The sequence below is a fragment of the Homo sapiens genome, chromosome 13 (assembly GCF_000001405.40).
Source record: "Homo sapiens chromosome 13, GRCh38.p14 Primary Assembly".
Taxonomy (NCBI): Eukaryota; Metazoa; Chordata; class Mammalia; order Primates; family Hominidae; genus Homo; species Homo sapiens.
In genome coordinates, this window is record NC_000013.11 from 63,632,510 (window position 1) to 63,649,499 (window position 16,990).

General features: G+C 31.6%; 1 long non-coding RNA gene across 6 annotated transcripts in view; it reads left to right on the top strand.

Moving 5' to 3' along the window:
- The window catches only part of LOC105370236 (uncharacterized), a 78,736-nt gene that overhangs the window by 38,617 nt on the left and 23,129 nt on the right, over positions 1-16,990 (top strand). For 2 of the 6 annotated variants that reach the window (XR_942018.2, XR_942023.2), the window contains exons 4-7: positions 833-887; positions 1,737-1,822; positions 2,952-3,014; positions 4,102-5,444. This is a non-coding gene — a long non-coding RNA (uncharacterized LOC105370236). Of the gene's footprint in view, positions 1-832; positions 888-1,736; positions 1,823-2,951; positions 3,015-3,337; positions 3,655-4,101; positions 5,445-16,990 lie in introns of those variants that run through there. The other 4 variants (XR_942019.2, XR_942020.1, XR_942022.2 and 1 more) reach the window with 3 other exon arrangements.

A 16,990-nucleotide genomic window follows, 5' to 3' on the forward strand; every position in this document is an offset into this window, starting at 1 on the left:
TTGGCTTCAATCCCAAATGCATCATTTCCATGGTACAATGGATTGCTGCAATGCTTCCCTGACAGTTATAACCTGGTAGATCAGAAAATACTCTAGGTACTCAATTTTGGCAGCTTTATTCCCATAATCACTTGATGTTTTATGAAAAGGTGTTCAGTCTCTACTAAGAATCCAGGAAACCTTTTACAAGTATTAAGTTGTTATCTTCCATAAAAGGCAAGGCTTTGCTCTAGATCCTTAGGGGTTGGTGTGCAACTCTTTTATTGGCTTTTCCCAGAAACTCCATCCAGACTTTTCTTATATACATGGGGCAGAGATATTTCTCCACCATCTCTCATTCCTTATTCAGTAAAGGGTAGTTTAGAGACATTTAACTCCTATACTGTCCCAGGGTTGTATTAATAACTGTGTGCTTAACAATCTCCTAAATAACTTGGGAGCAAAGCCTTGAGGCAGAAAGCCAGATTCACTTTGCCTTACAAGTGGGGAGGCTGTCACAGTGCACTGAGTGCTCCACTACAGCTGTGTAGCCAAGATCAGCAAGGATGTAATGTAGGCACCAAAGCTTCTAAAACTTACAATAGAAATCTGTGTATTTTTCTCACATTTAAGGTGTTCAGTGAATTGGATAGAATTACTCTGTATTTTACAATGCTTAACTTCTCTCAATTAAAATTGACTTATTAGATATTTTGAACATATTTTATTGTTCCCTTATCATTTTTCTTGAAATACGTGACAGATATATTTTACCTTTTGGAACCTTAATACTGAGACTGAAGAATTACTATCTGCCACTGTTAAAATGCATGCTTATTTTCTTTTTTTGTAGGACATTCTTCTACATAATGTTGCGTCAGTAGAATAATTTTCTCACCAAGTGATAGGTAAGCAGATTCCAGTAAGGATGAAGGATAAGATTGTCAGAACTTTTATTCCTACCTCAAACTATGGGCCATAGTTATTTTGATTAACACTGAATTGCTGTTTCATTTACCTAGCTTAGAAAATATAAACCATGTAAAAACTTGTTTCTCTGCTGCCTTAATTTAATACTTAGTATAGAAGCCTTAACTACAGCATTTGACCCTTGCGTTTCAAATGGTGAGAAGGAAGGGGAAAACTTAAAGTAAAAAACTTACATTTATCAAATTAAATTTAGTCTATGTGGACACCTACCTTGATAATGAACAGTCAAAATTATGTTTATGTCCAATATTATATTGATATATAATTTATTTTTCCTTTTTTATGTATGGTTTATGTTAGAATGAATGCTAATAGTATATTGGACTATGAGGTTGACTTCTGATTTTTCTTTCTCACCCAGCATCTGTATTCTAGTAGACAACATGCACTCTCTTAACTTTCAGCCCATGTAGTTTGGGTGGGATTACCCTCATACCTCTTTTCAGAGGAAGGCTTGTGGCTGTAGATTGATCAATATGAATATGGTGCCTGCTGCTACTGTAGTGACTGATTCTGGTAAAGATGAAGCTATCTTGCTGATGCTATCAGGGAAAATGTGATACATTTCATTTGCTATGAAGAGTATAGGATATATCATAGGAGACAGTTATCATCTTTGCCATTACGCACAGATCTCAGGCATGAAGAGCCTGGTGGAGATTAAAATCAACACATAGGAAACAAACTCTAGAAAATATGGGGTAGATAATAACAAAATTCTTGAAGTCTTGGATTCCTCCATGCCTAATTACAGCTTATTTTTTCAGCTAGGTAGGTCAGTAAATCCTCTCCTACACCGTAGTTATTTGCTTTAAGCCAACTTGAAGTGAACTTCTGTCTCTTCTTTAATCTGGTAAGTCCACCCTGCTCCTTGTTATAAGGTAAAGTTTTATGATAAATGATGTGTCTCCCTATTTCCAGGAACTTGATGCAGTCCCTTTTATGGCAAGTCAAATAGTATAACAGGCACTTGTCTTTACAAATTAAAAAAAACATCAGATTTTAGTAGTATAAGCATTAGGCAAAAACATGACAAATAATAAGAGTAGCAAGCAAATGGATGTTTACTTCATCAAATTCACTTTGAAGTAAGTATATCAAATTTAGTGCACTTAAATATTAATTTACTAAATGGTACCTGAGTCACCTGAATTAATGGAGTATGAAGATGTACATTACTTATTCTGTCTTGTAAAGTAGAAAGAATTTGGATCATTAAATGCCTAAACATTCATGATGGGATGACATCTATTATATGTGCATATACATTTTTTAAGTAGATAGTGTTTTTTTTACCAGTTATTTAAATATCCATCTTTTCAGTAATTAAAATGCCTACAGCTATTTTTCCTTTTATATTATTTAATGTTCTTCTAGGCAGAGGAAAGAGAGAGTAATAGCATATGAATAGCTATTTCCTAAAAGCTCTTGAAAACCTGACAAAAGTGGAGAATTGTGTTTGTTCTTTAGTGAAGAGTTCTGTTAATATTTCAAAAGTGGAGCATCAAACCTTTTAATTGGTAGCATAAGAGTTGTCTGTATACAAATAAGGGATTTATGATTCACAGAGATATTGATTTAGGTAGTGATATCAAGACAAAAAGCCAAATCAATAAATGTTTAATGACTGTGTACTATATGAAAATCTTGGTTCCCACTTAAGCATTTTGTAGTTGCTATATATTTTCTGGGAGAACCCCACATCATACGCTCTCATTCTAAAATTTCTCTTTCATTCATCAACTCATCTATTAATTAAAAATTGAACTTTAAAGTGGATTCAAGAAAACAGAATTTTCAAAATCACAGATTTTATCATTTGATATATTCGATCACATCAGTTTTTAAACATAGGACAAAAATAATGAATTTAAATGTGATTGTCCTTAAACTGGAAAAATACTCCAAAGTTTATGTACTTGCGTGAGCAGAAAACGTATTAATATTGATCCTTAAAAAATGTCTGTTTTTCTCCAACAAAGAGAATCTTACGTCTTCAAGCCCTGTTCACACCGCTTGTCCCATTAGAATAAACCTTATTTAAGGTAAGTAATTTGTAAATTAAATAAGATGAATGAAAATGACCTTTTTTGCAAGAGATAAAATTTCCACAGAATTTTGAAGAATATGATTGTGAATAGAGAGATTTTTTGGAGTAGTTGGCAAACCAGAGGCTCTTTATGGCATGATTTATGAGAAAATTGGGGGAAAAAGAAATGCAGCTCTTCAGTATTGCTGTGATTATGAATTAGATGTTTTTAATGTTCTTTGATAGATGTGAGTAAAGAATGGAATTTCTTTTTCATTATCTTTGCATGGTGAACAGTGTGTAATGTTCAGAGTCTGAGCTCTTATTTTCTTTAAACAGTTAGATATCTAGCAGATTACCAAGGAGGAGAAGGATCAGTGTCAATATCTTGTATTTCATAAAGCTCTAACATTTCAAGCATCATCTCATAAGTTCCTAACCCTGGTTTCAGTTTGCATATTTGTTGAAAAAACAAGAGAAGTTCATTCAACAGCATTAAAATTCATCCCTGCTAACATTCGACAAAGATTTTTTGGGAATTAATCAACTGCAGTGGCTCCCGAATAAAACACTCACAATATAATATTTTAAGCCACAGCTAGCTATTAACACTCTGAAAGATGAACTGCATACATGTTTCACGAAGATTTATATGAAGGACTGATCTGAAATATATAAGAGATGCTGATAGAGAATTCACCTGGCTTCTAAATGAGGCAATACTCTCCCAGAATTTATTTATTACCAATGTATTTCAATTGTGAAAGATGGTGTAAGAACTTGGAACCCACAAGCATCTGGATAGAAATATGAAGATGGCTTGACCTTGCAGGTGATGAGTTATTTGCCGCTGCTCCCGGGTATTATTCCACCTGCTTTGGGTAAACAGCATGATATTGCCAACAGGGGGAGGTACAGACAGAAGACGGATGAAGCCGATTTTGTTTAGGAGTGTAATTTAGCTGAACTGACAATATATTATACCTTAATAGTCCCTCAGAGTGAATTTAATTGATGACCCAACTTAGATATTCCCTTAGAGTATCTTTGTACTGGATTGGATGCAAGCTGGGTGCTTATGTTTGCTTCCCTGTTGTTAATAGAGTTACTGCCATCTGGAGAAGATATCTGCTAATATGTTACGGAGTTTTTTCCATTGTTGCTGCTTCTGTGAAGAACTCAGAAAGGTTCTGATAAGCCAAGAGAAAAGACAAAAGTAATGCTTTTCTCAGCGAGATCTAAGAATGTTTAGTAGATTGACAGAGATCATTAACACTTTAAATGTAGTTTTACTTCCATTTTCAGTCAGGTGAAGTGAAAGTAAAAGTTTATACTGGATAGCAAAATTAAATAATGTTTTTAGTGTTGAGACTGCCTATTATACACTTACACACACACTTACACACATATCCAGGAGAGAAAATATTTATAAAAAGAAAATTACAACTAAGAAATCTTGTTTGATAATACTACTTTAAAAGCTAAGGCACATAAAAGAGAATTAGATCTCTGTCATTAAGATTGTCCATAAAAATGCTTGTTTCTCATACATAAGACAGTGGGAAAAAAGGTTAGGACTAATCAATTTTTATCTTCTTATGAATATAGTAGAGAGCTTAGGCATGTAATATTATGAAACTTTACAAATACTGATTTAAAATGTGCTATAAGCACACTGGCCCCCACAGCCCTGCTAAGTTTACTATAGACATCAGGTCTTTTTTTTTAATATGATATTTGTTAATTAATTTATTCACCAAACATTGTTTATTAAACATATTGTATGTGTTTAGCATAAACTTAGGGGCAAGAAAATTAATGACTAAGAAATTTCCCCTGTCTTCAAAGTGTGCATAGTTTAATAAAAAGAGACAGCTATTTTAAATATGTGACTGTAGTAAAATTACAGATGTCAATTTAAAAATATGCATAAGACAACGCACAAAAGAGGCAGTTCTACTGCTAATTTTGTGGTGGATGGACAGTTTTACCACATTGATCTTCGTTGACCAGAAAAGGTCAGCTGTGATCAGTCTGTAATCTGTTCAATAGAAGACTTATACGAGGCATGTATCATTTTGAGACTCTGTGATTGTTGTTTAGAATACAAAAACAAAAGGTCATGTCTTTGAAGAATTTACAGAGTTTAAAAGAATTTAAATACCTTAGCATATTTCCCAGGCCCTTGTTGGGCACTGCTTGTGTGGATGATCCACTAGTATCTCAAAGTCAATGTATGCTACACTAAATCTTTCTTTCTTTCTAAATCTTTTCCTACACTTATGACTCCATCATATTTCTAGTCTCTAAAACTTAAAGACTCAGAGTCTCTGTCTTCATCTCACTGATTACTCACATGCAGCCACTTCCTGCTCTTTTATTTCTGTTACCATTGCACAGTTCAGGTGCTTTTGTAAGACCACCCAAACTAATCAGCATCTCTAGTCTCTTTCCTTTCCCATTCCAATTTATATTAAAACCACTTACTAAAAAGTTTTAAGACACACTGCTTCTAACTTAATATTCCCTTTTAGTCATAAATGATTTTAATGATTACACTACATATTTAGAAAAAAATAATAAACAAGAAACCTTAAATTGTTATATAAGGCCCTTTACACTCAGGACCTAGTCAATTTTTTCAATCTGTATTTTATTATTTCTGAATATCATTCAGCATTCCATTTAAATGGAATTATGTAGTATTTCCCATACCTGTCCTGCAGTTTCCTGATTCCCTGCTTTATTTTCTCTTATAATTCAATCTAGACTGTATTTTTCTATACAGAAATCTCATTCCCCTTGTTAGATCGAAAATGCTATTTATTGGATGTGTGAGATTTTCTTCAATATAATCCCATGAAAGTCTTCTGTGAAATTTCATAATATTTTATGCACACTTGAAACAGAAGTGATCATTTGGGGTTCCTTGTGGTGTAGTACAGAAAGCATTAGATTTAAAATTAGACCTGTGAATTTCAATTGTCCCTGTCACTATTGTTTCTGAGACTTTAGCTAAATCATATATACTGCTAATTTTGTGGTGGATGAACATTGTTACCACGTTGATCTTTGTTGACCAGAAAAGGTCAGCTGTGATCAGTCTATAATCTATTCAATAAAAGACATATTTATTGTCACCTCAGAAGTAATAATATATATCAATAATAATAATATTACTCATTGAGAATTAGAGAAAGTAAGTGCCAATACATTTTGTAAAATGTTAAACTGAATGAGAGATAGATATGGGTTTTAATCTTTGGTTTTCATCTGATTCATGAAACAAGATTATTTTGGGTTTTATTTTTCTATTACCATTGAGGCTACATAATAGTCACTTTAAGTTTAAAACAAGCATAAAGGTAAATGTGAAGAAGTGGGTTTATATTTAATAAGCACAAGAGATATTTGTCAATTGAATAAATAAATGACTGAATGAGTAGATGAACTTCAGCAAGACATATTACATCTTTCCTAAATAGTGTCAGGTTGCATATAAAAATCAGCATCTACATATATTCTGAATTCAATTGAGAATAACATGTGATTCAGGAGTTAACAGTATTTCCCTGATGCTCAAAATCAGCATTAATGAGATTTAATATGAAAACAAACGAACAAAACTTTGGTTTAGGTTAAGAAAGCAAAATTAGTTTTATGATCTCGACAGTTCTCATAATGAAGATCAAACACATTAAGAAAGAAAAACATGCTAAAAAAGGAATAAAACAAAGTTACAGAGAGATATGAGGCGGTTTTTGAAAAGCCAAAGATAAGTGCTTCAAAAATGTTTTTTTAAGCTCCCACTATGGCCTAGACATACGTTAGAAGTGAGCTTATAACCATTCTTCCTCTTAAAGTGATGAGAGCTTCATTATTTTTCTTCTCTATTGATCTATTAGCACAAAGGTACATATCAAAAACTAAAACAAAACCCTAACTCAAACAGCTGCTATATATTCACTATCATCAACCTCCATTTAAAACTGCAGAAATAATTGTAAGAAATCTCAAGTATCATGATATGTGAAATTATAATAACATTATAATTTATAATAATAATAACATCTAATGGGCACCAGAAGAATACATCTTCACAAGAAGGAAATTTTAAGTGACATTAAATGGTGGACAGGTTTCCTCAAAAATAAAATAATAATCTAACCCACAGAACAATGTTTCAAGTTTTCAAATAATTGGCAGATATACTGGTAGATAGTTATTTTTATTTTTTCAGGTACAGTCACTTTCTTTAGAAAATAATTCACACTAAAGCTGAGGAACATTTAGTCTGAATTCTAACCTCAGGCTTTTTTAGTATGAGAGTGACTGAGAGCAAAAGCATCTTCTGCATGAAGGCCAAAGTGTGCTTTGATTGAATATGTTTCCTGGCACCCATGTAAAACATATACTCACTTGACTAACTTCAGAGCAGCAGGTTTTCATTGAATCCATTCTTGCTCTATTAATCTTCAATACCTATTTCATAAAATTATAGAATTTAGAGCCTAAAGGGTCTTTCTCTATTTCAACTCTGTCAATTTACAGATACATAAACTAAGGTCTAGACAGGTTGAGAAACTTGCCCAAGGTTAAACAACTTCCTATTAACAGAGTGAAAACTAGGGTGATCTCTCTCTCTCTCTCTGTGTCTCTCTCTCGCTCTCTATCTATCTATACACACACACACACGTATATATAAATATATGTGTATATATATATGTCTTTGTATATGTGTGTTTGTGTGTGTATATATATATCTCAACTTTGGAATAAATACATAATCACTCTCTAGTTTTGTCTGCCGGCACTATGTAATTGATTTTTCCAGGCTTTTGTACATAAAACTAATAAGATATAAATTGTTCTCTATAAAACAGTGAAATAATTTTATAACTCCAAATATATCCATAAATCTTATCTTGAGTTCAATCATATATGATAGGATGGGGGATAAATATAGATTTTTCTACAATATACTGTACTAACAAAAGAAAAGCAGGCGTTTTAAGTAAGCCAAGTTTTAATCTATTAATAGATGACATTTCTCTATATCTCTTGGAATTTCTAAATTCTTTTAAAACTACAACAATTCCAAAATGTGAATCAGAATCAGAATCTAAGAACTATGATTTTGGAGACTCAGTTTTAAACAGTATATATTGTCTACTATTGTAAAGTTAATGTTTATGAAATTATGAAATCAGATGGCTTAAGAAGAAGAGAAGCATTTGAGAAGTCAGTGTTTCTTAAATGTAAGCTGGGCAATGGCAAACTTTTAACTTTCTATTTTAACAGTTTATTTTTCATCTTATAATCAAGACTGTTTTAAAAAAAAAACACTGTGAAACAAAAAAGTGTGATTACTTTTATTTTAGTATGTTTAATTAAATCTAAGGATAATTAATAATAATTGACTCCTATGAAATTGAATATGAATAATTTCATCAATGAACAAATACATTGAAAACATTAACAATGAATCTAAAGGCCAGTTGCTAGGTATCAAAACAGTATATTCATAAAATGTAGCAATGCATTATATATGTATTTAATGTTAATTTGATAAGCATGTTTTAAAGTTTTTCTCTTTTGATATATAGAAAAATACTAAAGAAAAAATATCTAGCAGTATTATTACCTCAAATATATGCATATATAAAATTAGGGTAATGTATACTCATTTTGTTTTCCTCACAAGCTCTAAACTTCCCCCACTCTGGGCTTACCTTGCAAACCATGAGGCAAGCTATGAGACTTATATACAAGTCATGACATCCTCTTGTTCATTAGCTAATGGTATTATTCTAGGTTTTTTCATTCTACTACTGTGCAAGTTGTTCCTAATGTTTTAAGAGGATGTTAACTTTGTATTTGGAATTATTTTCTTTAATTTGCTGCATTTTTAATCAAGTTAAGCTCCAGACATATCTTAAAGTCCCAAAGAAAATGCAGCAAATTAAAGAAAGTAATTCGAAGGAGCCTTCTTGTTAAACTGAAACCTAGATCAAATGGTGAGAGAACATTACATTCAGAGGATTTGCAAACTGTATTTCACAGTCTATTGGCCCCTTTATTCAATGTGTAAAACTAATAAAAATTGTTTTTGAAGTTAAGTAGACACTTGGCACTGCATGGTTTGAAAACTATTGATTTAGTTCAATCCCATGGAATAATGATTCTTAACTATCTGTGGTAGAGTATTTTTTGTTTTAGCATTATTTTGTTTGCTTGTCCACTCTAATATTTTGTAAAATACAATAAAATTTAATAATTAAGAAAATTCAATGAAAAAATATACATTTTTAAGTTGTCCATTTTTAAAATTTTGTAATTGACAAGTAAAACTTGCATATACTTACGGTGTACAACGTGACGTTTTGAATGTGTATACATTTCTGAATGCCTAAATCAAACTATTTAACATATGCATAACCTTACATACTTATATTTTGTGATGAGAACACTTCAAATCTACTGTCTTAGCAGTTTTCAAGTATATAATATATTGTGACTAACTATAGTCACTGTGATGTACAACAGATATCTTTAACTGGGTCCTTCTGTCTGAGAGAAATTTTGTACCCTTTGACCAACTTTCCCAAATCCCTCCACTACCTGACCTGTGGTAACCACCATTTTACACTGCTTCTATGATTTTGACTACTTTAGATTCCACATCTAAGTGAGATCATTCAGTATTTTTCTATATGTGCCTAGTTTATTTCACTTAACCTAATTTACTCCAAGGTCTCCTGTGTTGTCACAGACGAAAGTATTTCATTCTTTTTTTTTAAGTTTGAATAGTATTCCATTGTCTATATACACCACACTTTCTTTATCCATTCATCCGTTAATGAACACAGGTCGATTCTTCCATTGGTCAACATGTCTGTGTTCATGCCAGTTCCATGCTGCTTTGATTATTAGAGTTTTATAGTAGATTTTAATATCAAGTAGTGTGATGTTCTTTTTGTCAAGTTTTGTTCTTTTGCTTAAGATTACTTTGGCTATTTGGAGTCTTTTGTGGTGACATTAGTACAAGAGAAGTTGTTCCTTACCCATGAAAAAATTAAGAAAAAATATAAACTTTATTTTGATTAGGTCAACTTATGTGTTTCCATAAAATGTATAAAATTTATGGCCATATTATTCTAAATATTAGATTTAATAAACCTTAAATAACATTGCAATCAATAAATCAGAAAAAAATTGCAGGGTAAAAAAAGTTAAATTATATGCATAGTTTATTGAAAGTACGCAAATAGATGTATAATTTAGAAAATTGTTATTACACAGATAACATTTTGTTGTTAGGGGTAAAGAAGGATTATACATTGTGCCTATATGGCTATATGCTCACATTAAACACAATTTAATATCAATTAAATAAAAATGTAATTTATATTAAAATTTTTATGGAACAAGTCAGCTTTGTTTTGTTCAATTTATCTATTTAAATTAATTTTCATCTATTTTAATAGATGATTTGTTTATTGTAGGGATGCATAGTAACAATGTTGTTCACAAGGTATAATACATATTGAAAATTTTTCTGTGTTTTGTTCTAATAACTCATAGAGTAGAAACACCCATCTCACAGAGTTACCCTGTTGAGAATGGAAGATGTTTTAAAGAATTCAAGCAAAGTAAGGATATCATGTTTTATTTTGTTCAAAACAAAGGAAGCAATATTATGACTTTAAATATTTTATTACATTTTTGATTAGAAGTCAGTGTTATTCATTTATTTATTTGTTTTTCATTTAGAGGGAGGGTCTTGCTCTGTCACTCAGACTGGAGTGCAGTGGCATCATTATAGCTCACTGCAAACTCAAATTCCTGGGCTCAGGCAAGCCTCCCACCATAGCCTCCTGAAAAGCTAGGACTATAGGCTCAGATCACCATGCCCAGCTAATTTTAAAAACTTTTTGGAGAGATGAAGTTCTCACTATGTTGCCCCAGCTGCTTTTGAACCCTTGGCCTCAAGCCGTCGTCCTGCCTTGGACTCTCAAAGTGCTGGGATTACAGGTGTGAACCATTCTGCCTGTTGTGATTCTTGAATTTTTCTTCAGTGAAATTAATGAGTCATAATTTACAAACTAACCTTAAACTATCACATACTTTAACATGGTTATAACTGAAATGATTAGTATGCCGTTCTTACTTCCAGTGACTCACCACACAATTTCAAAAACTCATCTGTACTTTTAATTAAAACAAACCCACTGATCACAGGCTTGCATGTTTCAGCAGTGTCACATTGCTCTACAAGATTAGAAATGTTTAGTCTCAATTTATTTATATATCTTATCACAGTTTAATAATAAACAGTGTGCTGCCACTGGTCTGCAGAACATATTTGAGTAGCACTAATGTAAAAACAACCAACCAAGTATCATTTGTGTGTTGGTATCTAGCTTTCATTCTCCCCTTCTCTCATTTAAATCCATTCAAATTTTCCTAGAAGAACAATTGTTCCCTCTCAATTTGGGTGGAATCAACCCATTTTCCAAACCCCATTTGGCCTATGCCAATCAGTGGAATTCCATTCCCCACGCAAGGGTGTTGGTTCAAGTTTAGGTGCTTGGCAAAGTAGGCCCAATTAAATAAAGCTAAATTTAAAACAAAATTAATGGCCAAAAGATAAATACTCCCTCTATTAGGATGGATACAAAAATATGTGCCAGAAGTTATGACACCAGAAAGAAAGATGGCCATGGAATGAAGCCGTGACTGGAAAGGCAGAGTGAGGGATAGAAACCACACTCTGCCACATAATGTGGGTCTAACCACGTAATTTATCTTAATTAAAAATGCATGCATACAAAACAGCACTCTTTTTTTGTTGAAGTATAAACAAAACACCAAAATTCACAATAAATACATACATTAAAATGACTACCTATAACATAGAATGTAAAGGAGGATGGGAGTGCAAAATGGGGTTTAATGAAAAAAAAATTAAAGGAAATTTATATTGGAAACAATAAATGTAACTAACAAATCTCCAACACCTACTGTTACGTATAACTATACCTATGCCAATACGCATATGATATCTGTATCTATACTTATGGCTATAAATATAAAGGCAGGTGCTTGTTGATATTATTGAGCCATTGAATCAAATAAACCTTGAAACTTGCCCCTGATTATAGAAAATACAAGGAGCCTGCAAACAGTGTAACATATAGAATTCTGCTCTTGTGAACTTTAGTTCATTTTATAACTTCAAGGTAGCAATTTTGTTTTGACTGTTAATCTTTGTTTATGTTAACTATGCATTTATTTCTTTTCCCTTCTTTTTTTTCCCAAATTTTCTATCTTTTTTTAGTTTCCTCCCTCTAGAAATATAACTTTCAAAATGTTCTTTAAAGGGAGCTGTCAATGGGAAAATCTGTTTTTCTGAAATTAAATTTATTTTAACTTTATTATAAGATAATTAAATTCTAGGTTGAAAGTCATACTCTCTCAGCAAATTTAGAAGCACATTGTCCCACTATTGTCAGATTGACAATGATGAGAAAATAGATAGCAAATATGACGTATTTTTGAAGATATTTTGTTCTCCTCTCCTAACCCCACTTCTATCTGCTTTTTACATTTCCTCTTTTTCTTTTTCAATCAGCAGTTTGTATCTGATATTCTAGGTATGGATTCATTCTTACTTATCACTTTGTGAATTTCACTAGGATTTTAGCCTTTCTTCAGATATATCTGTAATTTCACAAATTCCTTTTCAATTAGTTCCAAATCTGTATTAGAATTTTTTATTTTAAAATATTCACACATAAACATCTTGTTTTATTATTTTTTTAAACAGGTGGCCATTTTTAATATTTTTCTCTTGTGTGTTTTCCTTTCAACATATTAAGAACATATTTAATATATTTAATATTTTGTCACCGATGGTTATAGAATTTCTAGTCTTTGAGAGCCTAACTATGCTCTATGTTGTTTCTGCTTGTTCTTATTCACAGTGTCTTTTTTGATGTTTACAATTTTTACTTTTACCTTCTATATTTAGGAACTTGATTTGACAAAATTTTGAGGTCTAGTTTGGAGATTAATTTCTCCAGAGAGAATTTGCATTTGTTATTTCCAGAATCTTGGTGATACTAATACACTGAAAATTCAGGAGGCAAATCCATATTAAAGGTGAACTTGTACATTTTTTTTTAAAGCTCTACTTAACTTCACGTTTTTGGTCAGAATATTTTATTTGGTGTCTTCTAAGTTTAAGTTTTATGTTTATTTCTTTTTTTATATACTTACACTAAGTGCGTCACCCTGGTCTTCCCAGCTTTGTGAATGGGCCAGGGAGAGGTGCTCTCACCTATTAGACTGCTTATTTTGGATGAATCCTGGCCTCCGCTTCTCCACAAACTTCGAGTTTATGAAAACTGAAATTTTATTTGATTCAGCTCAAAAAGTTATCTGTGTTCAACTTTCATTCAGTTTTTGCATAGTATATATCTTTGTGTTAGTTAACTAATATCTACCCTTTCACTGGGAGATTAGGCCAGGGTTCCAGGTAACACTTCTGCTAGAAATCAAAATCTCTCTTTTTATTCATTTTTAAAATATTTTCAATTTATTTTAAAGCGATAACTGAACTGAGATCCATATATGCATACTCTGGATATTTTTGGAAGAAAAATTGGATATGTATGATTCAAAGTAATTTTATTTTGTATTATATTCTCTATGAGTGTGAGTGAGTCTCTTGACTACTGCGAGCTTACATATAGTTACCTGAGTATTTAGCAGTATCATTTGAATCTGGTCTTATGTTATTTCCCCTTAAGTGTTCTTGTACACACTCACACACACACACACACACACACACACACAAATAGATACACACAAAGTCTCTTAAAATGGTTTAAAATAAACTTTTTGTAAAATTGATAATGCTACTGATGAGAATAAACATGTCAAAGAAAGCAATTATTGTTAGCATAAAAATAAATAGGAATAAATATTACAATATTAAAAGCAGTCATAGCTTAAATTCCTGATGACATTTAAATGTTTTCAAGATAATAGACTAAGTACAAAATTCTAGAGGAAGATAAGGTAGAGGTGAACAAAATCAGTGTTGGAAAACGAGCTTTCAGTGAAAACATCTTAAGAAGTTTTTCCGTAATGTTCTATGCATGCTTATTCTCCACTTTTAGATTCTAAAATAACCTTAGAAAAGTAGAGTGGAAGTAGAAAATCAGAGAGATATACTGATAAATTAAAAATCATATTTTTGACATCTTCCTATTAAGTAGAAATTATTTGTTTTTCTACGTTAAAGCAAATACACTTACAAATGGCCTTTATGGACTTCAGATAACTACCCATCTCAATACTGGTTATAATAATTCAAAGAGATGAGATTTAACATTTTTTGCTATATTTGTAGGTTAAACAGAAAGGTAGATTTTTTTATAACTTATTTGTTTCATCCACAATCATATCAACTTTGTTGATGCAAAAATAGAATTCTTCTTGCCCAATATTTTATATAATGTTTGAGGAATGAAGTTACCTTTTGCTGAATCCCTTTTTTGAAATAACTTTTGCAAATTAAATCTATGAACCTTTGCTGTCAATGTAACAGATAGCTGACATTGTCTCACGTTGTGAAATTTGCTCATCCAAAGTAGAAAGTGATGTAGAAAATGTTGAGTTTTTAGATTATTTGTTGACAGAAATGGAACATTCTGGAAATGAATCTGATCTACACATCCAGTACAATTCAGCTGATGTTTTATCAAATTTAGGCCATCAGAAAAAGATACTGAAGTCATTATTAAATGAATTGAACTTGGCAGCTCCATAGATACACTGCCCTACATGTATCTAAAGAGAGATGGCATTAAGAAAAATAAATTATTCTTTTAAAACTTGACTTTATCCCTCTTTAGCAGATATGCAAACCTACAGTATAAATTGTTGTGCTATGTCTAAAATATAAAAGGAATGCAACAGAGCTACACAAGTTCATAATCAAATTGTTCCAAAATATAATCTGATCTACTATATTATTCTTTTTTTGGTTATTTAGAATACTGTTTAATGTATATTCTATTAAAAATGTGTAGCATAAACTCAGAATGTTATGACACCTCGTTCATTTTTCATTTATTAATTTATAAGGAACAATGCATTTCTGCTCATACATGAAAATAATAAACCTAATTTTATTATATACGTGTGCTGTGGTTGAATGTGCTCTCCTCCAAAATTCAGGTGTTGAAACTTAATAGCCAATGTAATGGTATTAAGAAGGGAGGGGCTTTAAAAGATTATTAGGACACAGTGGCTCCTCCCTAGTTAACAAGATTAAAGCCCTTATAAAAGAAAGTTTTCATAGCTTTCTGCTAGCTTGCTCTTCTGCCTTCCACAATGGGAGGATAAAACTTTCCTCCCCTGAACAGATAAAGCAAGAAGGTGCCAACTTGGGAGCAGAGAGTAGCCCTTTCTTATAAGACAACTGAACCTACCAGTGCCTTAATCTTGGACTTCCTAGCTTCCAGAGCCATGAGAAAATAAATTTATGTTTTTTATTAATTACCTGGTCTCAGATGTTTTGTTATAGCAGTACAGACTAAGACAGTGTGTTAATGAACCATCCTTCAAATTTGTGATCCCTTAGTTGAATTTTGCAGGACGAATATGAATTTTTAAAATTATTTTCTACAATTTCTTTATATATTAGAGGATACAATTCAGATCATTGCTTTTGTTTATTTTATATTATTAGCATTTAAAAACTCTTAATATTTTGTTATCTTTGTTGAACACACTGATTTATGGGAAGTAGGAATGACTTCATGAATGTAAAGTGACAGAGAAATTATTAGATATTTTTTATTAGTTCATGCCCTAAAAATATTTTAATCTAAATAGTGTATTAAATTTAAGTCATTTTATAAGTCAGAATTTGTTAAAATTAATACAATTAATACAAAAGTAATACAATATATGCGATGATATTGTACCAATTAAAGTTAATACAATATCAATATATCAATATATGTTTCATACAATATATAACAAAATATACATTCTTCCCAAATTTTCAGTAAGGTAGAGCTGTTGTGAAACCTGAGAGAGGTAATTACCTCTTTTCCCTTTACCTAGAGTATTTGATTAAAATACTCCATAATTAAATACTGCCTTGGAATGAAAATGCAATTTAAAATATGAAATGTGATTTGGCAGATAAAAGATCTGCTATAGAAGTAGCAAGTATAGATTAATGATGAGTTTTGAGCCCAGTTTTAAGGCATTTACCACCCTTCACATAAATTAGAGCATTTGACCTTTAAGCATACAACTGTCTTCAATGAAATGATAACTGCAGTGGAGAAAAAGAACAATCAAAGCAAAGAAAACTAATCAGTTAGCTCTACTGAGGAAGGAAACTGCAGAATTTAGGCCAATGTTTTAAGTCCAAGCAAGAAAAAAACTAATTTCCCATGGACTTTCCATTTCGACAAGATTATCTGAGCACACTTAGAAAAGCAAAAATGAATTCTGCCAAAAAGATGGAATAATATTACAGATGTTAGAAGAGATAGAAAATAGATTCCTCGATGTGCACAAGAGATTGTATTTGGGATAATAAATTCCATTTTAGGTTGAATCTACTGTGGGAACCTAACCATCCTTAAATCTTCCAGGCTTGGTAGAAAGGTTAGATAGTCACAGCTTGAGTGTCAGGGGTTATAAACCCTACTCTCAACTCAATTATTTTAGTGGCGAAAACTACACACACTATTTTACAGTTACAATAACAAGACATAACTCATTGGATCAATGTAAAATACCTGTGATAAAGTGTGTTTCTTTGTTTTTGTTTTTAATTTTAAAACTTGGGAGGTGTGTTTAGTATAACATTAACAGACAGTTTAATATACATACATATACACTCTTCGTCTAAATTTTAGATTTAATAGTTACTGCTTTTAATTACAAAGAATGACCAGG